We start from the raw sequence: 27,445 nt of genomic DNA, 5'->3' as shown, positions 1-27,445 counted from the left end.
TCATTTACCAATATGCATTTAAGGTTTATCCCTTTTTTTTATGACTTGATAGCTGAATAGTATTTTATCATTTTATCATATGATTAGACCATGCTTTGTTTATTCATTTACCCATTAATGGACACCTTGGTTGCTTCCAGTGTTGGGTTATTGTGAATAAACTTATTAAACATTTGCATGGTCTTTGTGTGGATGCAAATTTTCAGATCAGTTGCATAAATACTTAGGTTCTCGATTGCTGGATTGTATAAGATGGTTTAGCTTGTTAAGAAACTGCTAAGAAACTGCTCAGGTATGTTCCTAAGTGGCTGTACCATTTAGCATTACCATCAGCAATGAATGAGAGTTCTTATTGCTCCTTATCCTTACTAGCCATTGCTATTATCATTTTTATGTTTAGTCATCCTTATAGGTGTATAGTGGCATTGCATTGTTGTTTTAATCTGCATTTCCCCTAAAGTAAATGATGTTGAACATCTTGTCATGTGCCTATTTGCTATCTATGTGTCTTCTTTGGTAAAGTATCCATTAAAATATTTTGTTCATTTAAATACATTTTTTTTTTCAAATTTTAGAGATGGGTCTCCTGTGTCTCAGGCTGGAGTAGAGTAGTGAGATGATGGCTCCCAGCAGCCTCAAACTCCTGGGCTCAAGGGATCCTCCCACCTCAGCCTCTCAAATAGCTAGGATTACAGGCGCATGCCACCCACTGCGCATGGCTAATTTTTTTTTTTTTTTGTAGAGATGTAGTCCTGCTTTGTTGCTCAGAATGGTCTTCATCTCCCGGCTTCTTGGGCAATTCTCTCCTCAGCCTCCCAAAGTGCTGGGGTTACAGGCATGAGCCACAACCCCCTGCTACTTTTGTCCATTTTTTATTTGAATTGTTTATTATAGTTGAATTTTTTTTTTTTTTTTTTTTGAGACGGAGTCTCGCTCTGTCACCCAGGCAGCAGTGCAGTGACGTGATCTTGGCTCACTGCAAGCTTTGCCTTCCAGCTTCATGCCATTCTCCTGCCTCAGCCTCCCGAGTAGCTGGGACCACAGGCGCCTGCCACCATGCCCGGCTAATTTTTTGTATTTTCAGTAGAGACAGGGTTTCACCATGTTAGCCAGGATGGTTTCAATCTCCTGACCTTGTGATCCACCCGCCTCGGCCTCCCAAAGTGCTGGGATTACAAGCGTGAGCCACCGAGCCTGGCCTATTATAGTTGAGTTTTAAGAGTTATTTGTATATTTTGTTTACAAGTTCTTTGTCTTCTTATTATCTTAACAGAGTTTTTCACAGAGCAGAAATTTTTAATTTTAATTAAACCCAGAATATCAATTTTTATTTTCTTGCATCATGCTTTTGGTGGTGGTGTAAAATCTCAACACCAAACTCAGACTCATGGAGATTTTGTCTTCTGTTTTCCCCTAGAGGTTTCGTAGTTTTGCATTTACACTTAGGTCTGTAATCCATTTTGAGTTAATTTTTCTGTAAGATCTGAAGATTAAAAAAATAATAACTTTATTGACATATAATTCACATACCATACAATTCACCCACTCAAAGTATACAATTAGGCAGGGTGCAGTGGCTCACACCTGTAATCCCAGCACTTTGGGTGGCCAAGGTGGGAGGATGGCTTGAGTCCAGGAGTTCAAGACCAGCCTGGACAACACAAGGAGACTACAATTCTATAAAAAATAAAAAATTAGCTAGGCATGGTAGTGCCCACCTGTGGTCTCAGCTACTCAGAAGACTGAGGTATTGCTTGAGCCGGAGATGGAGTCTCACTGTGGTGCCCAGGCTGGAGTACAGTGACGTGTCACAGCTCACTGCAGCCTCGACCTCCTGGGCTTAAGCAATCCTCCCACCTCAGCTTCTTGGTTAGCTGGGACCACAGACACGCACCACCATGCCTGTCTAACATTTTTTTCTTTTCCTACTCATGCTTTTGGTGTCATGTCTAAGAATTTATTGCCAAATCTAAGGTCATGAAGATTTACCCTTATCTTCTAATAGTTTTATATTTTTAACTCTTTTAAGTCTTTGATTAATTTTGAGTTAATTTTTGTATATGATATAAGGCAGCAATCCCCAGCCTTTTTGGCACTAGGGATTGGTTTCATGGAAGATCAATTTTCTATGGGACGGGGATGGAGGATGGTTTGGGGATGATTCAAGCACATTACATTTATTGTGCACTTTATTTCTATTATTATTACATACTCACCATAATGTAGAATCAGTGGGAGACTTGAGCTTGTTTTCCTGTAACTAGATGGTCTCATCTGGGGGTGAGGGGAGATAGTGACAGATAATCAGGCATTAGATTCTCATAAGAAGCCCACAACCTAGATCCCGTGCATGTGCAGTTCACAATAGAGTTTGCACTCCTATGAGAATGTAATGCCACCCCTGATCTGACAAGAGGCGGAGCTCAGGCCATAATGCTCACTTGCCCCACCGCTCACTCCCTGCTGTGTGGCCCAGTTCCTAACAGGCCACAGACTGGTACTAGTCTGTGGCCTGGGGGTTGGGGATCCTTGATGTAAGGTCAGGGTTCAACATCATTTTTTCCACTCTGGTGTCAGAGGTAGGGACAATGATGCACCTCTCTCTGAGTGACATCACCATGTTAGATGCTGAATGTTTCTGGCAGAAGCACTCAAAGCAGTCCCACGTTTCCTGACTTCTTTCTCGATGAGCCAGAAGCAAAGGTGATCAAGGCCCAAGTACACTCAGTGCTGCTGTGGCCAAGGTACAGCCTCCAGGTACAACTGGGCAGAAGAAGGGAGCCCCCACCTCTGCCATACTTGCTTAGAACTTAGTCTCAACAACAGGTAGCTGCGGGGAGGATGACAAATGCTGATGTTTTGTCCCTCCTAGGAAGCTGACCCTCCAACTGGGAGCTGAAGGGTGAGGGAGCCCTGTGTTCTTGGCTGCACCAGTATAGCGTGGAGCCCTCTCTGAGTTGGAAGCATGAAAAGAGTGAGTAGGTCTTGGTTCAAATACCTCAAGCTCACTTTTCTTACTGGGTTTCAGTAGGTTTTCTTGAATAAATGTTCCTTCATTTGTTGTGCACCTTTAGGACCATTTTTAGAAATTTAAATGGTTGCTTATATATAAAACATATAATTTTCACCAGTTTTGCTTTGAGCTGGGTGTACAGGGCTTCTCATGTTGTTATGCCTCTGTGGGTTCTGTTTCAATAACTTAAAGTCAGTGAGAATGTGGACAGTGGAAAACCACACAATTCAAAGTCCAGTGCTCACATAGTAATTTAATATGCACACACGTATCAACTATGAAAATGGCTCAGAACTAAATACGGATTGGGTTGACAGTAACTAAAGTAGGGAGTCCTGCATGGTTAGACCTCCATTCCCCATAAATTCATGGAGTATCTACTATATGGAAGGTATAGGAATAGAAGATAAACCGCTAAAAATTCTGAAAATTAGGAGATTTTCACAAAAACAGAACTAACAAACTAATAAGCTAAGGCAGCCTATTCTAAGTGCCCAGAGAATACATGCTCCAGTTTTTCAGAAGCACAAGAATTATGTGGGACTGGAGTAGTCAGATAGGATTTCTGTGGAGGAAGCGTGAGCTGAGTCCCATTTAGAAGAAAGGTAGGATTCAGCCGGGTGTGTAGGTTGTTGGGAGGGCATATTCCAAGGAGGCATTCCAAAGCAGAAGAGCTCAAATGTGATTGTATTTGGAATACTTGGGTATTGATGACTAGACCTGCCTGCTTGCTGGAAGGTTTGTATAGAGAGATCAAGATGGAGAAATGAGATGGAGAGTGATCAGAAATGCAGGAGAGGCTGAGTTGTTGGACCATGGAGTTTGGACTTTATCTTAGAGAAGAGTGACTTGGGCAAGATATTTTAGGAAAATGGTTTTGCCTGTAGTGTGTAGATGGAATGAAATCTCTGCGTGTGTATGTGTGCATGTGCATACGTGCACATGCACCAGGAAGCCTGGAGGCAAGGACATTAGTTATAAGATTGTTACAGAGGTTTGGATTAAGTGAAGGGATTAGGAATGGAAAGGAAGTGTCTGGTGGATGGTAAGATATAACCAGGACCTCAATAAAGCCAAGCAATTATTAAAACAAGCATGGTAGTTGTGTCCATAAACATAAAGTCCTAGAATGCAAGCTGATTTAGCGATTTGAGATAGTAAGTATATTTTAATTTAAACGGAGTCTCTTTATTTTTGAATTTGCATATACTTTTCTTCCCTCTTCTTATTCCTCTGTCAATACCTCGCACTTATTCTTCCTTTCCGCAATCCCTCTCTTTTAATTTGATCACAAATTAATCTCTTGTATGTATTTACAGGAGGAAACCAATGGCAAACGTTGTGTATGGTTGCAAGGATGAGTTTCTCCCCCTTGAAAATATCCATTCGCATAGAAATGGGAGGCACAGTGACCAACTCTTGCTTCTTAGCAGGTCTAACATGACCTTCAAAACTCCGTAGGACATACTGGTCTTTGGCGGGGCAGCATCTCCCGTCAGACTCAGGCTGGCTGGGTTTCTCACAGCTGCCTGGATGTGTGTGACTCGCAGCTCTAAGGACAGAATTGCCAAAGCAATACAAAAACACGGACGAAAAGCAAGCCACAAAACCCCATGCCTTACACATTAGGCTGATGAGTGAAGTCGCGGAAGGTGGCTCTGCTCTTGCCCTTTTAAAATTCCAGTGCAGCAAACACACACACACACACCCGCTCGGTTCTTCCCATTCCCGCCACACTGCACCAGCTTCCGTCCCCAAGTCCTGATTCATGAACCGTGCCACCTTTGTCTCATTTTAAACTGTGCAGACTATTTTAATCTTGCCACCCCCATCCCAGATTTCCCCCTCCCTTCATCCTCTGGAAGCTCTGATGTAAAGCGCTTGCTAGGTGGGAGAGCGCTTCTCCCAATCCGCTCGGGTAGGCGAGTTTCCGAGAAGCCCCCTCCCCGGGACCCCGCCGCGAGCGCGGGGGAAGCGCCTCGGTCCCTTTAAGGTGCCGCGCTCTCCGAAGTGCGGGCAGGGAGCCTGGGCGCCGGCGCGGGTCCTGGAGCCGGGTGGGGAAGTCCTGCGCCCTCCCCCTCCGTCCGCAGCCCAGCCTCGGGGGCCAGCCCCCTCCGCCCACCGCACACGGGCTGGCCATGCGGCGGCTCTGAACGATGTCCTCCTCCTCCTACGCCAAGAACGGGACCGCGGACGGGCCGCACTCCCCCACCTCGCAGGTACCGCCCCCTCCTCCCCCTTCTCCTCTTCCTCCTCTTCCTTCCTCACACCTCCTCCGCCGCCCTAGCGCGCCCCGCCTTCGTGCCGGGCGTGCGGGGCCCCAGTCCCGGGAGTCGGCGGCCCCGCTCCCCCCACCCCTCCTCCACGTCCCTTTCTCCTCCCGCTCCTCCTCTTTCTCCTCCTTCTCTTCCTCCTCCTCCTCACCCTCCTTCGGGTCTCTGCGCTCCCGCTCCGGAGCCCGCAGCCTCCCCCAGCGGATGCCGGGGACTCGGACCCCGCACCCTGAGAGTCTTTGTTAATGGATGTGGTGGGTGCTTGCGGGCTGCTCTTCTCGAGCATCTTTTCAGCAGTCGAGGCTTGCAGTGGGTGGGTGGGGGTGGGGGCTGTATTTGGGAGTCGCGGAGGAGACTTGGGTGCGGGCTCTAGGGGACCCCAGGGAGCGGGTCCGGAGGCGGACTCCAGCCGGGGGTGGTCGCCCCGCTCTGCGCTGCGGTCCTCACCGGCTTCTCTCTGGCCCCCGTGTGTCGAGTCCAGGTGGCCCGAGGCACCACAACCCGGAGGAGCAGGTTGAAAAGATCCGATGGCAGCACCACTTCGACCAGCTTCATCCTCAGACAGGTATGAGAAGGAGGCGGGAGACCAGGATGGGGAGGAGGCCGAGCGCGCGGCGCGGGGGTCCTGGAGCCGGCCGTGGCCCACACGTGCGGGAGCTGCGGGTCAAGCCCGCGCGCGTCTCTTCCCGGCCTCGGCCGGTGCTCGGGCTCAGTCCCTCTCCCTCTAGCCTGGGCTCTTGACGTCTTCGCGTCCCGGCGTCTCCGCACCGCCCCGGGAAGTTAGTTTGTGCATGTGTGTGGACAGTTCGGTGGGGACCTGGCTTAAGTCAGGGACGTTGAATTTAAGAGCTGGAAATATGTCTGGTTGTATCTTTGGTGCGTGGAGAAATGTCTTTAATTCGTATAACTCGACCTAGAGTAACCAGACCCCTCGGGGCCGGGGACCTGGTTTGATTCGAGTTGAGATTTAGTGGTTTCTTCTGTTTTGTCCTAATTTGAATACTCTTATCTGTCTGGATCTTGGGAGAGATCGTCAAGCTCCGGTCAAAAGAAAGACACTGAGCAGAAAGTTTACTCTCACTTTAGGACCGCTTCTTGGATTCGCTTAGTTAGGGAAAGACAGCTGTATCTGGTTAAATAGGAATTAACGAAGGCCAGCACTCAGCTCCGGGTCTGGGTGCGCCTTCACTTCGTGTTTGTTTTCTTAGTGCTTGCTTTCTCCTGCGTGGTTCTAGTGCGAATTGTCTGTGCTCGGGATCTCCGGATCGCTGGTAATGCTCAATGCTTAGGTGCCTTTCACCTTGGCACAGGAAATTGGTCCTCAGTTTTCCAACTGTCCATGTGCTGTTAATGAAACCACCCCTGGCTGCTGGGTGCTAGAGAGATCATGCAATGAGTCACCTTGATCTTTCTTTGGAACAGAAATTGTCGGGGTGTGTCCTAGGTTTCGGGTGACCTAGGAAGACATTGGTCATCGCACCAAGAGGCTTTTATCCCAGGTCTTCCTGTGGGCTGCTGGAGTGACCTTGAGAAGTTCTTTTCCCTCTAGGTCACTCAGTATTGTGTAATGTGTTTTCTAACCTATGATGGCAGCTCTGGTGTTTCTTTAGTGATTATCATCAATTTAAACATATCAACGAGGAATTGATATCAAAATTGAACTCAGACCTCTCCTAAAAGGGTCTATAAAGCATATTTAGATGATATTTATTATGCAGAATTTCACTTTCTGCAGAAGCGGAAATTTTGACTACCATTTAATTCAGCGAGCACTAAGCATGTACATTATGGAAATAAATGCATTTTGGATTCCGAATTCATTCTAAAAGTGCATTCTATCCCCTTTGCAGTATTTAGATTATGTATTTGATAAGGCAAACATATTGTTTATCTTAAAAACATTTTTCTGTTATGCAACTGTTTGAGGTCTTGCTGGTGTTTATTTTGTAGGTGCCTATTTTTAGTGGTGTTTCATTGTTGCAAATTCTTGGAAATACTAATTACACAGCAGTTCTTTCCATAAGCTGTTTGACTAAAACTTTTGAGTTCATCTACATAACTGCACTAATGCTTTATTCTTCCTTCCAAGCACAAACAAAATAATATTCTAATATTCTTACTCTTTTCTCAATTTATGCCCGTAACTGATTGAGATGATGTATATATAAGTTCTTGTAAAGCGTGCTGCTATGTGCTGGCTTAAGAAATGTTAAAAGTATTGCATGCTAAATAATTTTGGGAATAATTTAAAGCAAAGTAGATTTTTTTAAATAAATATATTTCATCTATGAAATGGGAATTCATTGGTTTGATTAAATGGTCTAATTTAAATTCAGGAGTTAATTGTAATTGTATTATATACACAATCTTATTTTTCGGCACAAAAATAGTACTTAATTTTTTTCTTTTTTCAGACGGAGTCTTGCTCTGTCGCCCAGGCTGGGGTGCAGTGACGCAGTCTCTGCTTACTGCAAGCTCTGCCTCCTGGGTTCACGCCATTCTCCTGCCTCAGCCTCCCGAGTAGCTGAGACTACAGGCACCCGCCATCACGCCTGGCTAACTTTTTTGTATTTTTAGTGGAGACAGGGTTTCACCGTGTTAGCCAGGATGGTCTTTATCTCCTGACCTCGTGATCTGCCCACCTCATCCTCCCAAAGTGCTGGGATTACAGGCGTGAGCCACCATGCCCGGGCTACTTAATTTTTATGAGCACTTTACAACTCACTGAGTATACTACACATGATCTCATTCAAATGACATCATACAGACTTCTGTATTGGCTACAATAAAAATAACTGAGGGATTTACATTTCTTTGATGAGATAAGGAAAATGATTACAAATGCAGTTTAACAATAACTTTCGGATAAAATTGAAATCACCCCAATGCCAAAAAATATTTTTTATGAAAGCATAACAGCTGCTTACGTTAACAGAGCCTTGGGCTGGTCACAGTGGCTCACGCCTGTAATCCCAGCACTTTGGGAGGCTGAGGTGGGCGGATCACTTGAGGTCAGGAGTTTCAAACCAGCCTGGTAGCATGGTGAAACCCCGACTGTACTAAAAATACAAAGAAATTTGCCAAGCGTGGTGGTGTGTGCTTGTAATCCCAGCTACTCGGGAGGCTGAGGCAGGAGAATTTTTTGAACCTAGGCGGTGGAGGTTGCAGTGAGCCAGTATTGCTCCACAGCATTCCAGCCGGGCGACAGAGCAGGACTCCATCAAACAAACAAACAAACAAAAACAGAGTCTCATTATTTGTAGAATGACCAGTGATTTATTGATATTTGAATTCTTGATACATTGGAGTGATGAAATTTCTTGGTGCTGTTTCACAGTCTTTGTGATGCCTTTGAAGAAGATAGTGGAATACCAAAAAATATATATATTGCTAGTTTCTTTATCATATTATTTACAAAAATATGGAGAAAAGCTTTCATTAAAAAAAAAATCGATGTGTTACATTGGATGGGGAAGACTGGGCTGTTGGTGAAGCAGAGAAGGCAGTTGGCAACTCACCCAATAAGACAATATTTGTTCTTTGAGCTTGTTAAAAAGTTTCAGTGTTTCTGAGACTATATATGCACATATGTGTGCATGCACACACATGAACATTTGAATTGGCTGGAAAACAAGCAGACTGAGAAAGAGAGCCTGCTTCCACTCTGAGGACTGCTCATGAAGCCCCTCAGGAATCTTTGACCTTGTTTCTGGTCTACAAGATTTCTGGCTTCCACCATTTAGGAGGGATGGAGGTTTTGGAATGAATCCAGGGAGCAAATAAATGGCTTCTTTGAGGAAAGGTGAGAAGATGAAGTACTTTGCCGCTGAAAGGAAAGAAAGCTAGGAGTGACCCAGAAATGATCTTCAAAGTACACACAAAGGCTTTCTTTGGAAATGTGATGAAGTGTTCTCACTCTTCATTGGGGATGAAACTCAAGAACTGGCCCAAATTAGAAAGGAATGATGTTTTACAGCAAGACCTTCCTAAGAGTGTTGCCATCATTGGAGTGGCTTTCCAAATGAGGCCATAGAATTTTCTTTCAGGAGAGCCCTTCTTACAGGCTATTTATGAATGGATTATCTAGTCATATTTTAAAGTTTTAGGAAACACTTAAGTATTTGCTATGTGCCTAGCACTATGTTAGATATTGTAGGGGAGGAATGAAAAGATGGATGAGACACAGCCCCTGTACTCAAAGATTTTTATAATCTAGCAATGGAGACAGAGATGTCTACAAACAGTACGGTGACATGTAACAAGGAACGAGAGGGCGGGCTCAATGACCATGTACCCCGAGTATCTATTATATATCCATAAGTATATCTACCCATGGGTGTCACTACACATACAGTTTATACGGCTGAGTACTCCAAGTTAGTCCTCTTCCCACTGGGGTTTGAAGAGAAAATCTGATCAGAGTGGGAATAGTTTGTTGACTTTTCCTTGTTAAGTCTGCTCTTATGAGGCCAGCAAAGTCATACCTGGCCTGGCCCCTGCCTGCTTCCAGCCTCATCTTGAGCCATGATCTCTTAGCTCTGGACACAGAGTTTGAACACACTGTCTTCCCTCTTGCCACTGGTCCTTTGCATATGCTGAGCCCTCTGTGTGGCAGGTTGTTGTCCTTCCTTCTGCCTAGTTAACTTTTAATCTTCCCTGAGATCTGGGGGTTTAGTCTTCACTTCCTCTTCTAACCTTCCTGATAAAGTCAGTTCCCCAACAAGGGGCTCCCAGAGGGCCTTGTGCCAGTTTTCAGTAGCACCACCGCTTTTATTTAACATGTACTTAGATTTCTCTGTTACATTCTGTCTCCCCATCCGTATGAGTTCCACAAGGACAGGGACATGTCTGCATTTGATCTTTGTGTCCTCAGCATCTAGCATAGTATATGTTCAATAAACACACACTTGAATGAATGAAGCAGTGGATGGATGGAGAACTAACTTGATATATTTTAGGCATGAGGTTCTGCTCCAACATTAAATGCTTTGTTTAGTGGGGAGAAATTGCCTCCTAACCTCCCCCAAAACTCTGTGGCTTGAAACAACAACAATTTTTTATTTCTGTGTACTAACCAGACAGTTCTGCATTGTATGATGTTATATGGGCACTGGGATGGCTGGAAGGTCCAGAGTGGCCTCACACATGTGGTTGGCAGTTGGTGCTGGCTGCTGGCTGAGAACTCAACTAGAGCTTTTGGCAGCGGCTCAGTTTTTCTCCACCTGGGCCTCTCAACATGGTTGCTTGAGCTCCCGGATAATATGGTGGCTAGGTTCCAAGAAGTGAAGGCTGAAGCCACAGCTCTCCTAAGACCCAGTTTTGAAAGCTACACTGTATCACTTGTCTTGCAAACTCAAGTCAAAACAGGTCCAAGAGCCTGCTCAGTTGCAACAAAAGAGAAAACAGACTATCTTTTGATGGGGTGCAACAAGGTCACGTTATAAAAGAGCATATGGGTAAAAATACACACACACACACACACACACACACACACCAAAAAACAGCAAGTCAAATTCAGTGCCAATAGTATAAACAGGAATGTAAAGATTATTCAATTTATATAACAAATTAAAGAAAAATATATGTTGATTTCAGTAGGTGCCAAAAAAGTATTTGATAAATTTTGTAAGTTAAGAATAGAGCATATCTAGAGGCACGTGATTTTAAAAAAAGAAGAGAAGGCAGCTCCCTAAATCTAATAAAAATTATCTACTAAAATCCACAGCAAACATCACACTGAGCAGAGAAACTAGAAACAATATATGTATGCAGCAGTCAGTAAATGAGCAAATAATGTACATTGGGGCCCTCATCCATATTTTTGCATTCCCTGGTTTCAGTTACCTGCGGTCAACTGAGGTCTGAATGTAGGTGAGTACAGTACAGTAGCTATTTTGAGAATGAGAAAGAGACTACATTTCATATAACTTTTATTATGACATATTGTTAACATTGTTCTGTTTTATTATTAGTTGTTATTAATCTCTTACTGTGCCTAATTTACAAATTAGACTTCATCTTAGGTATATATGTATAGGAAAAAACATTATATATATATATGTATATATATGTAAATGTATATATGGTTTGTTACTATCTGTAGTTCCAGGCATCCACTGGGGTCTTGGAATGTATCCCCCACGGTTAAGGGTGGACTACTATATATTATACTACAGAGTACTATTCAGCCATTAAAGAAAAAAATAAAGCCACCCTGCGTGTAATGATATGGAAATGCATTTAAGACATTCATTTGAAATGCATTCAAGTGAAAAAAGTAAGTTACAGAATAATGTATAATAATATTTCATTAAAAAAAAAGAGCATATGGAATGGAAGATATGGTTGCAGCCATTGTTGGAACCATCTACCTTGGAACAAGGAACCTCGTATTTTTTAAGGTATGCTAATCAGATGATCGTTACAATAATTCAATGAACCACACTGTATTTAGAGATCTAAAACATTCAGATTTTTAGGTTGATACTAGAATAAAACAAGTTGGCAAACAAATTCTTGGGGTTATAATTTGAGCACCAGTTATAGATATGTTTCTCTGATGAAATGCAAATTCATCAACAGAAGGTATATGCTTTGCGCATAGCTCTAAGAATAATCATATGCCTACAGGCATGTATATATGCAAAATTTATCCATAAACTTAGAATCACAGAATTTTAGAACAGGAAGAGATTGCAGAAAGAAAATACTTCAGTCTCTTTTTTCAGATGAATAAAACATAGGCCCAAGGACATAAAGGTCATACCAATAGATAATGGTAGAACAGACACAAGGGATCCTGGCTCAGACTCTACTGTTTTTTTCACCACAATCCACTTTATCCCTGAATAAACAAGCCAAACACACAAACTCACACAGGTGTGGATACATGCAAGGACATATGGAGCTTATTCCTCTCAGATCCTGGAAACGTTCTGAATCTGCGTGGTTGCTGTGAAGAACCATAGCATCAGTTGAAGAATTTAGAGACTGTGGTTTCTTCCCAATTCTATCATGGATGGAATTTTTGTTTGCTTGGTTAGCTTCTTGTAGGATTATTCCTTCCACCCTCCAGTCTTCTACCAGTTCCTCCCATTGGCTGAGCCTCTCTGGAAGCCCACTGACCTGGGATTCTGGGAAACAAGCTGCAGGCAGTGGCCCTCTGAGATGGAAAGTAGAGCAGCGGAGTGGGAGGAGTGGATCTGAGGGAAACAGCCAAGGAGGGGCACAACCAGTTACGTTTATGTTTATTTTTGTTTGAGAAGGAGTCTCACTCTTGCCCAGGCTGGAGTGCAGTGGTACAATCTCGGCTCACTGCAAGCTCTGCCTCCTGGGTTCTTGGGAGGCTGGTCCTGCCTCAGCCTCCCAAGTAGCTGGGACTACAGGTGCATGCCACCGCATCTGGCTAATTTTTGTATTTTTAGTAGAGACCAGGTTTCACCATGTTGGCTAAGCTGGGGCACAACCATTTTTATATTTTAGCTGCATGGTAGACAGTATTGAATCATTTTCATCTGCAAAGTTGGAAGTTTTTACTTGCTCTGTAAGTAGACCTTCCTTGCTAAATGGTGTAATCCAGTTACAATGAACTTTAAAAAGTTCGCGCTTATTTCCTTTGTGAGTTTTTTGTGCAATGAATCTTCTCTTGCTCTGATAGAGCAAGAAAGAACTCTGTCGCTCTTGGCAAACTGTGCTTCTTCTTGTTTTGGGGCTTAAATAAATTGAACTGAGCTTATGAAGAAAGAAATCTAATTACTGGGTAGCTAACCCGTTAACCAGTCATTTTTACTTATGTCTGAGTCTCTGTTCCTGATGGATAGAATTGCCTAAATTTCACTTTTTTTTTTTTTTGAGATGGAGTCACACTCTGTTGCTCAGGCTGGAGTGCAGTGGCCCAATCTCAGCTCACTGAAATCTCTCCCTCCCAGGTTCAAGCAATTCTCCTGCGTCAGCCTCCCGAGTATCTGGGATAACGGGACTGCCAACATGCCTGGCTAACTTTTCTATTTTTAGTAGAGATTGGGCTTCACCATGTTGGCCAGGCTGGTCTTGAATGCCTGACTTCAAGTGATCCACCTGCCTCAGCCACCCAAAGTGCTAGGATTACAGGTGTGAGCCATCATGCCCAACCCTAAATTTCATTTCTGTAGAATAAATATTTATCCTTTAGTTTTAGAATGGTACAATTTTATTGAAACTTAGGTAAGTTCTGATTCAAGTTTTTATCTTTCTTTTTTTCTTTTTTTTTTTTGAGATGGAGTTTTGCTGTTGTTGCCCAGGCTGGAGTGCAGTGGCGCGATCTTGGCTCACTGCAACCTCTGCCTCCCAGGTTCAAGCAATTCTCCTGCCTCAGCCTCCCAAGTAGCTGGGATTACAGGCATGTGTCACCACGCCTGGCTAATTTTGTATTTTTAGACAAGACCATGTTGGTCAGGCTGGTCTCGAACTCCTGAGCTCAGGTGATCCGCCCGCCTCGGCCTCCCAAAGTGCTGGGATTATAGGCATGAGCCACTGCGCCCATCTTCAAGTTTTAATTTTTCTAGAAAATTATAGGAAGCTGTGTGGAAATGTAAGCTGAAAATGACTTTGGCTTTGGCCCTCTCCCCTTAATTGCTCCACCTGCTGCCCCAGACAGGGTCAACCCTGGATATTAAGGAAGCAGAGACTGCCCTTTCAAACAAGGTTTAAACAAAAGGCAATGCTATTTAATGGCCTTCCTTTGGCCACTCAAATCTGGGTCTGACCCATCTTTTCTGGGTGTGGTCTTGGCATTGTCCATACTCATCTTCCTCAAAGCTTGGCCCATTTTTGGTCTCATTTCTGAAGCTCTGACTCAGAATAAAGCATAAATCCTAACCAGGGTGAACAGCTTGCAACTCACTCACATTCATGAAGACTCTACAGACATGTGGAGAGTGGGGCATGCAGGTCCCATTCTGCTCAGTGACCCTCTGTGTTTGGCCTCTGCTTTCTGTCTTTCTTTTTTTCTTTTTGAGACAGGGTCGTGTTCCCTGCAGCCTCAACCTCCTGTGCTCACGGGATCCTCCCACCTCAGCCTACAAGTAGCTGGGACTACAGGTGTGCACTACCAAGCCTGGCTTTTTTTTTTCTTTTTTTTTACTTTTAGTAGAAATGGGGTCTCACCATATTGCCCAGGCTGGTCTCAAACTGCTGGGCTCAAGCAGTCCTTTCACCTCAGCCTCCCAAAGTGTTGGGATTACAGGCATGAGCCACTGCGCTTGGCTTTGCATGCTTTTTAAGCCATATTTTGGAAGAGAGAGCTTCCTAGAACAGTGCCATCTCTCTATTTTCTGTCCCTTTGCTGGAGCTTTCTTCCCTGCAGAGTGTGTGAGCAGAGAATGGGTGACAGGCCTCAAAACATGTATCCTCTGAGATGATCCTTCAGTGGGGTGAGCCTGGTGTAGGCTGAGCTTCTGGACTGTTTTTCACTTCCACTGAATCCGGTGTGTTGCACAATTATTTCCTTTGTGGGCTATGGCAAGACAAAGCTTGCAAAGCACTCTTTGACCACCCCTGGGAACACACTCTGCTATACCTCTGCATCTTAGAATACATCAATGGGTAAGTCTCAAGAAGAGCTGGGCTGTTATCCCCAACGAACCCCAATCCAAACACACTCTGGTTGAAGCAGTCAGTATTGTCCTGCTTTTGCACAGTTGCCCTTGTACTTCATGAACCAGGAAAACAATGAGGTGAATCCAGTGCTCTTCATTCTATAAGAGTGTCAGTTCTGAACTTGACTACATGGACACATCAGGAATTTCACATGGATTTAACCATGTGTACTGTGAGGAGACAGGAGGGCACTCAGGGAGGTAGGACTGTAAGTAGAAGCCGAAATTCATGAAAAAGCTGAATTATAGATTCAATTTTAAGGGTATACTGTAGCTTTACTGCTTTCAAGTAACAATAATGACAAGCTGTGTGCTAGGGCACCCTGCCTTCAGAAATAGATGAGGCTGATATATTATCATCTAGCTTGAATATAAACAGTGCTTTGGAATTCCTTAAAGATAGTTCTCATTTCTAGTAGAGTAAACATGCGCCTTTGTAAACTTCCCTATTTTCTTTAACGTGTCTTTTCTTATTATACACATAAATAGAGCAGAGGTAATTACTTGAATCTGAAGGGATGGCATTCACGATCTGAAAGCATTAGTTAGGTAAGGGCTGTAAAACTTATTCGACGGCTACTGAATTTTTCTGATCATCTCACTGTAATCATTTGGATGACAAATCGTGTCTATTTCATTTCTCATTTTCTGTTCTATGTTGATGGATGTATCTTTCTCCAAGGTTGCAGTTTAATTGCTGTTGTAGTATTTGTTTTGGGAGTAAATATTTTGTAAACATAAACTTGAAAAGAATATGCATTTCTGGGTTGTAGGATCACTAGAGGTGGTTAACTTTTATAGTGCTTACTGTGTCCATATATTATGATGAGATTTTAAAATTCCTTATGGAAAATTTTTTTAGCAGTTTCATTGATAACATATGGAAAATCTAGCAGTAATGGAAATGCATAGTAACTTGTGCAGATAAATATATCGTCTTCCTTTTTTTTCTTCTTAAATGGCCCAATGCTATTGCTAACAATTTAATGCTGATTGTTGTTTAGAATCGAACAGGTGGGTAAAATGATCATTGTTACCAGTAGAATGTTCCTTAGTCACTGCTTTTTAATTTGCCGTGTGTGTGTGTGTATGTGTGTGTGTGTGTGTGTGTGTGTGTGTTAAGTGGGGAAGGCATTCTTTTTTTCAGGCATGTCATAATCTAATATTTTCATGGCCTGGAGAAGAAACCTATCCCTGTTAGCAGTCATTCTGCATCCTCTTCCCCACCTCCCAGCCCTAGGCATCCACTAATCTATTCTCTATCTTTTTGGATTTGCTCACTCTGGACATTTTATATAAATGGAACCATAAATTAACATGTGGTCTTTTGTGACTGGCTTCAGATTTTTTCTTTTTCTCTGTCTCTTTCTTTTTTTAGACAGGGTCTCGCTCTGTCACCCAGGCTGGAGTGCAGTGGCACAATCACAACTCACTGCAGCCTCGAACTCCTGGGCCCAAGAAGCTGGGCCCAAGCTGCCTCAGTCTCCCAAGTAGCTGGGACTGCAGGCGTGCACCATCATGCCTGGCTATTTTTCTTATTTTTTGGTAGAGATGGGGTCTTGCTATGTTGCCAAGGCTCAAATCTTTTCATTAACATATTGTTCACACCAGCCCGAGAAGTTTCAGTTATAGCCCCTGGTCTAAATGTGTAGATGCTGGCGTGAGGATAGAAATGGACTTGCCTTTCCTTAAGTCAGTGTCAGAGATGGCTTTTCCAGTCACAGTATTGAATAGGATGGATCATATTCTTATTTATTTTGGAGCTTCAGTCTCAGCTCATAAAGCTGAATGTGTTTTTTTGGCAAAATTCTTTTTTTTTTTTTTTTTTGAGATGGGGTCCCGTTCTGTTGCCGAGGCTGGAGTGCAGTTGCACAATCTCAGCTCACCGCAACCTCCGCCTCCCAGGTTCAAGCGATTCTCCTGCCTCAGCCTGCCAAGTAGCTGGGATTACAGGTACGTGCCACCATGCCTGGCTAATTTTTGTATTTTTAGTAGAGAAGGGGTTTCACCATGTTGATGAAACCACCAGGCTGGTCTTGAATTCCTAGGTGATCAGGCCTTGGCCTCCCGAAGTGCTGGGATTATAGGCATGAGCCACCGTGCCTAGCCTTTTTTTTTTTATTTTTTCAGTTAGAGTCTTGCTCTTGTTGCCCAGGCTGAAGTGCAACGGTGCAATCTTGGCTCACCGCAACCTCCATTTCCCCAGTTCAAGCAATTCTCCTGCCTCAGCCTCCCGAGTAGCTGGGATTACAGGCATGTGCCAGCATGCCCGGCTAATTTTGTATTTTTTAGTAGAGATGTGGGTTTCTCCATGTTGGTCAGGCTGGTCTCGAACTCCCAATCTCAGGTGATCCGCCCACCTCAGCCTCCTAAAGTGTTGGGATTATAGGCGTGAGCCACCGCGCCCGGCCACAAAACTCTTTAACCTGCATGGAAATCAAACCCCTGACCCTGGACTTCTTGTCTTCCTGGAGTGGCTCCCATCTATAGAGGGGGGTGGTTTTTATAATAGGATGTGATCGACAGGATTAAAGAAAAGTATATGAACAATAGAAATGGTTATTGTCATCGTTTTCAATAATTTCTAGTAATAGAAATATCTTGGGTACTTACAATTCAAAATGCTTCCTTTAGTTTGTCTAGATGTTCATAGTAACTCTGCTTTGGTAATTATAACATTTCCTTCTTGAGAAATACAATTAAGGAGAAAGCGGAGTGCTTGAGTTCCAAGCTAAATACAATATTTAAGGGAATTATTAGGTATATAAAACTGTACTCTCTATGTGGCAGGTGCTTCTCAATTATATTTGAGTACTTCCCTGGGGGACAAAAGTCAATTATCAACACAGTTGTGTGGGAGAGAAATAGGTCAGCTGCAAACATTCTTTGCTAATTTCAGAAAGCTTGAGGGGTGATTTAGTTTGAGGATGTGTTTTATTCTTTCTGTTTCTTTGTTGAGGACTCTGATAGGGAAGGCTCTGTTTTTCATGTAGTATTGATTGTCGTATTCATTTACTTTATTACAATATACATATTTCTCTTGCTCATGCAAAATGAAAATTAAACTATATCTAATATCTTTTTAAAAACTCTGTCAAATCGATATTGTAAGAGAAATGTGTACCATGGATATTACTGTTATGACTGTTTGTCCATTAGTAGAGACACCAAGGGTGTAAACCAACCCAATCAAAGGCAAATGTCATATTTACAAGTATTTTATTTATTTATTTATTTCCCCTCTTTAGTAAGAAGACACCAAAGAGTGCTAATTGTTGAATAAAAAACAAGGACCTTGGTATGTTTTCTAACAATTGTTTTATTTATTTATTTTTTATTGTGGTATAATAAATGTAATATAAAATTTGCTATTTTATTTTAAAGTATAGGTGCAGTAGCATTCAGTACATTCACTGCTTTTTGTTTGTTTGTTTTTTTTTTTTTTTAATGGCTGCAGCAGGTTATCAAAAAGACAGTGCAGGCAGGCAAAACGTATGTCCAACATACACGTATGTTAAAAACATCCGCCATTATTGTGGCCTCCCTCCACAACTGTGGTCTTATTTAAAGCAACAACAGCAACACAAAGCCAGACCTTGGAGTGCCACACCCAAGTGTGGGTTTGGGAGCTGAGAAGGGAACAAGCTGAAAGGAAGCCGCAAGAGCTGTGGAGACCAGCCGGGACCCTCATGGTGGGTATGGGAAGGTAGGAGTGGGAGGATGAGGCTGCCCAGGGGTAGTTCTGCCCCCAGATACTTGTTTTCACACTGCCTGACTGCTTTTCTTTTTCCTCCACTGTCTGAAGTTCAGACAGTTCCAAGATGATTTGGGTTAACAAGCAGCCTATTTTAAAAAGATAAATGTTCCCAGCAGTCTTTGGAGGCTCTATTCATTCATACATTATGGGAATTTGACTTATTGCTTGCAAGTATGCTCATTTTACCATCTTAACAAAGCGCACCCCAACAAAGCAGCCGTGCTCCCATCTCCCCGGATCTGTTTGCCCTTTCATGCCAGTGTGTTCCCCTTCCCTCCCCTCTGCCTGTACTTGCATGGCGGCCGCAGGTACCTAGACTTGGACGTAACCCCTGCTTTCATCCCTCCACTCCCTTGATCATGCCATTCCTTCACCTTAAAGTGCTTTCCCCATTTCCACTTGATAATCTTCCCACTTGTCAAAATCCGTCTTCAATATTCTCTGTGAATCTCTTTAATGTGGCACTAGGTCTCCTTCTCTGTCATGGCCCTTATACTGTGTTTTGGCTGTTCACTTATTAAATTCTCCTTTGTATAATCTAAATGTCCCTATGTCCCACTAGCCTGTGGGTATACATTGACATTATGCCCGTAATCACGCCTGTAATCCCAGCACTTTGGGAAGCTGAGGTGGGAGGATTGTTTGTGCCCAGGAGTTTGAGACCAGCCTGGGCAACATATCAAGATCCTGTCTCTACAAAACAAAACAAATTAAAAAAAAAAAACATTAGCCAGGCATGGTGGCATGCACCTGTGGTCCCAGATACTCTGGAGGCTGAGGCAGGCGGATTGCTTGAGCCTAGGAGGTTGAGGCTGCAGTGAGCTATGATTGTGCCACTGCACTCCAGCCTGGTTGACACAGTGAGACCCTGCCTCAAAGAACAAAAAACAAAGGAAGCAGAAGCAGCAGCAGAAGTTGTCATGTATCCACATTAATAGTCCATATATTGCTGGCTCACATTTCTCACCTAGAGACATAGGACCTTAACACCTTCCCCCTAACCTGTTGCCCATTTTTTCTGAGTCCAGTAAGTGTCTTAACGTGTGCTCACAGCTCCCCTGCTCATTGATGTCTACTGCCACCAGCCTTTGAAGAGGCTTCTGCTGCAGGAGCTGTGCCTTCCTCAGTGAGAACACAGCTTCTTCCTTCTAAGGTGCTGTTTTTCAGCACTGTACTCTTCAGCCTCCCTGGACAACCTGTGTTCCAGACTTTCGCAACTCTGGGTCACTCTGTGTCCCCTGGGTCCTCGAGTGACTCTTCTTGTGCCCAGTGTCTCCCAGATTCTTTTGTAAAGCCAGCTTCTGCAGCATGACCTGCATCTCTCTGTGGGGAACAGACATCATTCAGCCTCTGCCCCGAACTGCACCTAAAACCTGCTTCTAGCAGTGACTTTTGTACTCATTCATGTCGACCCACACGAACTGATGTAGACACAAACTCTTCGTCCTCTTTTAGGCTCAGTTACGCCATACTCACAGTAATTTATATATTTAAAATATTTTTGTTTTATGCATTTGTACTTGTGGTGGAGGTGGAGCAGGGAGTAAAAGGAGGAGGAGGAAAGGAGAAGGTGATGTCAGGGCCTGAAGCGTTTTCAAAGTTAGTGCAGGCCTGAGTAGGATATCGGAATGGGATCCTTGGGACAGAGGAGGGCACTGGTGCCTGGGCAGAAAGAGAGTGACTTGTGGAAGATGCTTTCAGAAAGGGAAGTGGATGAGGATCAAACTTGGTCTATTTCAAACTTTATTCTTGAAGTGTATCTGATAAGAATCTTTTCATTGCAAGCAAACAGAAAGCCAGCACAAATTGGCTACCGCAAAATATGGAATTATTGACTCATGCAAGTGAAAGCTCAGAGGCAAACTTTATACTTCAGATATTGTATGTTCCAAAGTTCGTGGCTTCATCAGCAGCTTTACTCTTTCTGTGCGGTTCATTTAACACTGTGTGTTCTTCTGTGTGCTGGTCTAGGCCTCAGTTTAGCACCCGTTATTGTGGTAGCAGTGGCCACAGTGATTCAGGATCTCCCATTTATCCACGATCCTGTCCAGTTAGGCTTCCTTACAATAGTTCCAGCAGAATAAAAAAGGAGAGGTGCCTTCTTTCCTCCCTCCTTCCCTCCTTCCCTCCCTCCCTTCCTTCCTTCCTCCCTTCCTTCCTTCCTTCCTTGCTTTCCTTGCTTGCTTTCTTTTTGCAGCTAATGGGGCTTTAAATACTGTCCCTGGCAGCACACACACACATGTGTACACGTGCTTGTGTGCATGTGTACACACATATGCATACACACACATACATATACACATTTCTTGAATCTCATTGAACTGAAATGGCTCATAAACCAACACTATGGCCAGGGGGACTGTCTTAAGGCAGCAGTTGGCTACCTAGAGATGAGATTGAGGTCAGCCCCACAGTGGCTGAGATTGGGGAGGGCAGTTTCCTAAGGGAATTTTGGACCCAGGCAGGATCGTGGGAACTTCTTCCTTCTGCTCCTCCTTCCTCTGGTACCACAACTTTCAGTCACTTCATGAGTTAGATATTGTTTTAAGTGTGGTAAAATAAATATAACAGAAAATTTACCATCTTTACCATTTTTTAGTGTACAGTTCAGTGACATTTAAGTACATTCACATGGTCGTGCCTACCAACATCACCACCATCTATCCTAAATAGGATTTTGTGGACTAATCTGGGAGCCTAGCTTTCTGTTGTAACAATTTATTTTAATGGGAAAATATGTAGCAAGTTTCAAATAACTGACTAAACAGTGAAGTTCTGGGACACCACATAACTATTGATACAGGGGAGACTGCCTGAATGAATACTTCTTAAGGCCTCTGTTTTCCTTGTTGCAAAACGGGGGTGAGAATGGGGAGGACTAGGTAACCTCTAAGATTCCATCACGTTCTAATATTATAGGACTTTATGGCTGTGTCCACAGATGTATGTGGTCAACTCATTCATTTTGGTAGAATATACTGTACAGTTAGCTCTCAGGTCTGAGGGTTCTGCAGGCTGACTGCGGGACTCAAGCATCAAGGACTTTGGTATCCATGGAGGGTCCTGGATCCAATTCCCTACTGATTCTGAGGAATGACTGTATTTTGCAGCTTTGGCAGAAAGCCTTTGTCACTTAAGTGCTGAGATGAACTCATACAACATACGGCCATTCAGTATCAAATATTGGAAACTTCAGATAAGGACATTCTTTTATAATGTAGCAAAGAGATGATGTGGAGTTTACAGGAGGAAAGATAATTTGGGATAGAGCTGGAATTTATAACTCTTTCAAGTATATGCATGCAGCATGAAAGGATGTGCAAAGAATAGAGTGGGCTGTCAAGGATGAAGTATTTGTGAAATGTGGTGAGATGGTTCTCAGATAAGCATCCTGGAAGTTATTAAGAGGAAGTCTGCTGAGGAATAGTATAGCTCCTGCTATTATAATTATTATAGCCACCAGGAAGAACAAGTAGCTAATGGGGCTTTAAATCTATAATAAAGAATAACACAAGTTGCCATATTGGAACTTTGCTGAAGGTGAGTGGAACCACAAGGTTGATTCTCATCATTTGAAAACACTGCATTAGGGACTTTTAATACTGACTTTCCTGCTTACTCCGTGTTTGCCACGGGCCTGATATTTGCACATACAGTTCAGCAAAGTTGCCTTTATTGCAAAGATGAGGTAGGAATTTCTGTTTTTAAGTAACATTAACTATTTAATAAGTAGATTCTGGTGGATATATTTTTTTAAATCATATGTCGAAGCACTAACTAATGTGATAGTATTTGGAGGTGCGGCCTTTGGGAGGTAATTAGGTTTAGATGAGATTTTGAGGGTAGGGCCCCTATGAGGGAATTAGTGCTCTTGTAAGAAGAAGAAGGGGGACCAGAGCTCTCTCTGTCTCCACAATGTGAGAATATAGCTAGAGGGTGGCTGTCTGCAAGCCAGGAAAAGGGCCCTTACTAAGAACCAAATCTGTCAGGATCTTTTTTTTTTCTTTTTCTTTTTTATTGACAGGGTCTTGCTGTGTTACCCAGGCTGAACTTGAACTCCTGGCTCAAGTAATCCTCCCACCTCAGCCTCCAAAGTAGCTAGGATTACAGGCATGCACGCTGAGCCCAGCTCTCTGTCAGTATCTTGATCTTGGACTTCCTAGCCTCTGGGACTGTGAGAAATAAACTCACATTGTTTAAGTTACCCATTCTGTGGTATTTTGTTACAGCAGCTCAAGTTGACTAATTCACTTGGTAAGCTGGTGCACTTGACTATTTTCCTTCTCATCCTTCTAGTCAGTAGCACATGCTCCTTATTCATTATGTAAACATTATATTTATATCCTGCTTTATTCTGGAAATGACTTAAGTTAGCTTGTGTATGATATCACAAGAGTGTTAGACTGTTGGCATTGCTATAAAAGAATACCTGAGACTGGGTAACTTATAAAGAAAATAGGTTTATTTTGGCTCACATATTTTGGCTTGCAGTCTGCAAGCTGTCCAGGAAGCATGGTGCCCACATCTGCTCCTGGTGAGGGCCTCAGCAAGCTTCCAGTCATGGTGGAAGGTGAAGGGGGAGCAGACATATCACATGGCGAGATTGGGAGCAAGAGGGGGAAGGTGCCACACTCTTTTAAAAAACCAGATCTCGCATGAACTCAAAGCATGAAATCACTCATTACCCTGAGCAGGGCACCAAGACATTCATGAGGGATATGCCTCATGACCCAAGCACCTCCTACTAGGTAAGCCCTGCCTCTAACATTGGGGATCACATTTCAACATGAGATTTGGAGGGGACAAAACATCCAAACCAGTAGGTGAATACAATGAACTGATGGAAAAAATACAGATGAGACAGAGTACACAAAATATATGCCACTAATCTTATTCACTGATTTGAGTCTGAACTTTCTAGAAACTACCTAGAGAGGAAAGCAAGGTCATTTATGAGATTTTTCAATGTCCAAGGGTAAAAGTAAACTTGTTTAAGAAAACTACACAAATTTCCCACCCTGAAACTAGAGAGAAACTTCTCCCATGTTCTCATAGAGTTGACACTGTATAAGACAGTAAATTGGCCAGGCGCAGTGGCTCATACCTGTAATCCCAGCACTTTGGGAGGTCGAGGCAGGGGGATCACGAGGTCAGGAGTTCAAGACCATCCTGACTAACATAGTGAAACCCTGTCTCTACTAAAAATGCAAAAAATTAGCCGGGTGTGGTGGTGTGCGCCTGTAATCCCAGCTAGTCAGGAGGCTGAGGCAGGAGAATCGCTTGAACCCAGGAGGCAGAGGTTGTAGTGAACCAAGATTATGCCACTGCACTCCAGCCTGGGCGACAGAGCGAGACTCCGCCTCAAAAAAAAAAAAGACAGTAAATTAAACCCTGAATAATTAAACCTTATAATTCTAGAGTTGTTTCTTATCATATACTTCAATATATAGATTATACTTCTCATCATGCTGGAGTACAATTCAATAAAAGCAATTATGTAGGAGCTATTGCTGTATGGTTCAGAAATGCCTGTGATTCTCAACCTTGGCTGTACATTAGAATTCCCATGTCCAAGCCACATCCCAGCCTAATGATATCTGGATTTCTTAGGGGTGGGACTCAGACATCAGCCTTTTTCAGAACTCTAGGTGATGGATGTACTTTTCTGGTCTGATGTAATTCAGGGGGAGATTTTACTTTTATTTTTTTATTTTTTTGAGACAGGATATCGCTCTGTTACCCAGGCTGGAGCACAGTGGCGCCATCACCGCCCATTGCGGCCTTAACCTCCTGGGCTCAAGCGATCCTTCCACTTTGGTTTCCAAGGTACCTGGGACTATAGGCACACACCACTGCGCCCAGCTAATTTTACAATATTTTGTAGAGACAGGGTTTCACTATGTTGCCCAGGCTGGTCTCAAACTCCTAGACTCAAGTGATCCCGCTGCCTTGGCCTCTTAAAGTGCTGGGATTACAGGTGTGTGCCACCATGCCCAGCCAAGCAGGGAGATTTTAGAGCAGCTCTTTTCAGCCAGGATTTATCAGTCAGGATACATTAGGTGATGTTGCAATAATAAATACTTCTCTAAAACAATAACAACAACAACAACAACACGGCCGGGCGTGGTGGCTCACGCCTGTAATCCCAGCACTTTGGGAGGCTGAGGCAGGCGGATCACGAGGTCAGGAGATCGAGACCATCCTGGCTAACACGGTGAAACCCCATCTCTACTAAAAATACAAAAAATCAGCTGGGCGTGGTGGCGGGTACCTGTAGTCTCAGCTACTCGGGAGGCTGAGGCAGGAGAATGGCGTGAACCTGGGAGGCGGAGCTTACAGTGAGCTTAGATCGAGCCACTGCACTCCAGCCTGGGCGACAGAGTGAGACTGTGTCTCAAAACAACAACAAAAATAACAACAACAACACAACACAGGTTTATTTTGCACTCACTCTGCATGCCTCTTGGTGGGTTAGCTGGGGTTAACTCACTGTTCTTTCTCCAGTAGAGCAGGCACCATGTAGAACATTACTGTTTGCTGCAGAAGAGGGTGTGAGAGACATGGTGGACCACACACTGGCTTGTGAAACTCTGCCTGGGTCTATGCTAAGCTGCTGTAATACTGAAACCAAAAGATCAATATATATTTCTTTGTCACTTAACAGTCTACAAGAAGGTGGGCAGTTCAGCGTGGGTGGTTGGCTGTATTCCAAGAGATCAGTGGTCCAAGGACGTAGGCTGTTGGGTGGCTTTGCCATTTTCAACATTTAGATTCCATCTTTGGATCCAGTGTGACCCCTACAGTCATTACCATTTTCTAGGTAGCTCAAAAGGGGAAAAGGAGGATAAGCAGCTTCCTTTTTAAAGGGATGACCCAGAAGTTAAACAGATTTCTTCAGCTCATAATCCATTGGCCTGAACTTTGTCATGAGGCGACATCTAGCTTCAAAGGAGGCTGAGAAATGCAGTCTCTAGCTGAGTTGCCATGTGAAGGCTAAAAATTGGGACAGCTCTATTTCTGGAAGGAAGGAGAGAATGGATGTTGGAGCCAGTTATGCAGACTATGCCTCATGATGATAATAGTTTCAAAGTTTGGTTTTCACGTAGAAGCATTTCCTTCAAATGAAATTGTGGATGTTGTCTTTGGTAGTCGACATATTTGGAGATGCTTTGATGAGGTGAGGGGATCTGTGTGGACCGCCCTCCCAGTTTCCTCCTCATACTCTCTGCAGCAGTTCTAGAGGCATCTCCAGGGACCCTGAGGGCTCTATGAAAATCATGGATGCAGATGAAGTGATGATTTACATATGCAGCAGAACATCCTCCCAGAATATTGTTCCTCGCAGAAGGACTTTGGATTGATATTGAAAATGGAACTGCATCCTTCTAGTCAGTTCTATCGCAAAAAGCCATCCCAAGCCCAGCCACCTCCCTCCATCGCTCCTCCTGCTGCCCTAGTTCTCAGCTTGCGCCACCGCCGTCTCTCTTCTGACCTACTGAAAGAATCTCCCTCTGTCCATATGCCAGCAGGTCCATTCTCTACGCAGCTGCCAGAGTTATCTTTTTAAAAAGGAAATCAGATCAGGCCATTTTTCTGTTTTAAAACCCTCTAATGGATTTCAGTTGGGTTTAAAATATAATCTAGATTCATTATTGTGGCCTCCAAGGCTCTGCAGTGATATAACTCCTGTCAGACTCTCTTACTTCATCTTCGTGTTTCAGCTTACTAACCCTTCTCCTCTCAGTCTCGGGTTTTCTTTATGTTCTTTTTTTGAGAGGGAGTGTCCCTCTGTCGCCCAGGCTAGAATGCAATGGCACAATCTTGGCTCACTGCAATCTCCGCCTCTCAGGTTCAGGCGTTTCTCCTGCCTCCAGCCTCCCGAGTAGCTGGGACTACAGGTGTGCACCACCACGTGTGACTCATTTTTGTATTTTTTTGTTTGTTTGTTTAAAAACAGAGTCTTGCTCTGTCGCCCAGGCTGGAGTGCAGTGGCGCGATCTTGGCTTACTGCAACCTCTGCCTCCCGGGTTCAAGTGATTCTCCTGCCTCAGCCTCCTGAGTAGCTGGGATTACAGGCACGTGCCACCACACCCAGCTAATTTTTGTATTTTTAGTAGAGACGGGATTTCACCATGTTGGTCAGGCTGGTCTCGAACTCTTGACCTCATGATCCATGTGCCTCGGCCTCCCAAAGTGTTGTGATTACGGGCATGAGCCACCGTGCCTGGCCAATTTTTATATTTTAGTAGAGACAAGGTTTCGCCATTTTGGCCAGGCCGGTCTTGAACTCCTAATCTCAGGTGATCCACCCACCTCGGCCTCCCAAAGTGCTGGGATTACAGGCATGAGCCACTGTGCTCGGCTCTTTATGTTCTTTTAATAAGCCAAGATTAGTCCTGCCTCCAGGCCTTAGCACTTCTGCTCTCCTTCTGGAATGCTCCTTCCTGAGCTCTCTAGATGGCTGGCTCTTTCATTCCCCAACCCAAACATTACCTTTTTAGAGAGACCTCCCCTGGCTGCTCAGTCCATGGCGGCCAGCCCCCCTCCCTGCTTACTCTCTGTCACATTCCATTACTATCAGAATTTACCTTCTGTAGTTTTCTTTTCACTTACTCATTTCTGTCAATTCTCACTGGAATGTAAGCTCCAAAGAGGCAAAGAACTGGTACATCCTTGTCATTGCACTTTCCAGGTTGACAGAATAGGCATCAGGAACGCCATATAAGTTTAGTAAATATTAACTGAAAATTGAACAGAATGACAGTGA

General features: G+C 43.8%; 1 protein-coding gene across 12 annotated transcripts in view, besides 1 other annotated feature; it reads left to right on the top strand.

Moving 5' to 3' along the window:
* Positions 4,939–5,228: a silencer, noted in NCBI's record as "silent region_12010". NCBI's record gives its function as "represses an Ori minimal core promoter by ATAC-STARR-seq in GM12878 lymphoblastoid cells {active_cell/tissue: GM12878}" and the evidence as "EXISTENCE:reporter gene assay evidence [ECO:0000049][PMID:35858748]".
* The window catches only part of CACNB4 (calcium voltage-gated channel auxiliary subunit beta 4), a 266,397-nt gene continuing 243,965 nt past the window's right edge, over positions 5,014–27,445 (top strand). For 8 of the 12 annotated variants that reach the window (XR_007081584.1, XM_011511797.4, NM_000726.5 and 5 more), the window contains exons 1-2: positions 5,137–5,232; positions 5,768–5,851. Coding sequence is in view for 11 of the 12 variants with exons in the window: in XM_011511797.4 (XP_011510099.1) it covers positions 5,170–5,232; positions 5,768–5,851 (147 nt within the window). In the remaining variant the exon portion in view is untranslated. Of the gene's footprint in view, positions 5,233–5,417; positions 5,541–5,767; positions 5,852–27,445 lie in introns of those variants that run through there. The other 4 variants (NM_001330113.2, NM_001005746.4, XM_017004888.3 and 1 more) reach the window with 2 other exon arrangements.

The sequence above is a fragment of the Homo sapiens genome, chromosome 2, assembly GCF_000001405.40.
Source record: "Homo sapiens chromosome 2, GRCh38.p14 Primary Assembly".
Taxonomy (NCBI): Eukaryota; Metazoa; Chordata; class Mammalia; order Primates; family Hominidae; genus Homo; species Homo sapiens.
This window is presented reverse-complemented; position numbering and strand designations above follow the sequence as displayed.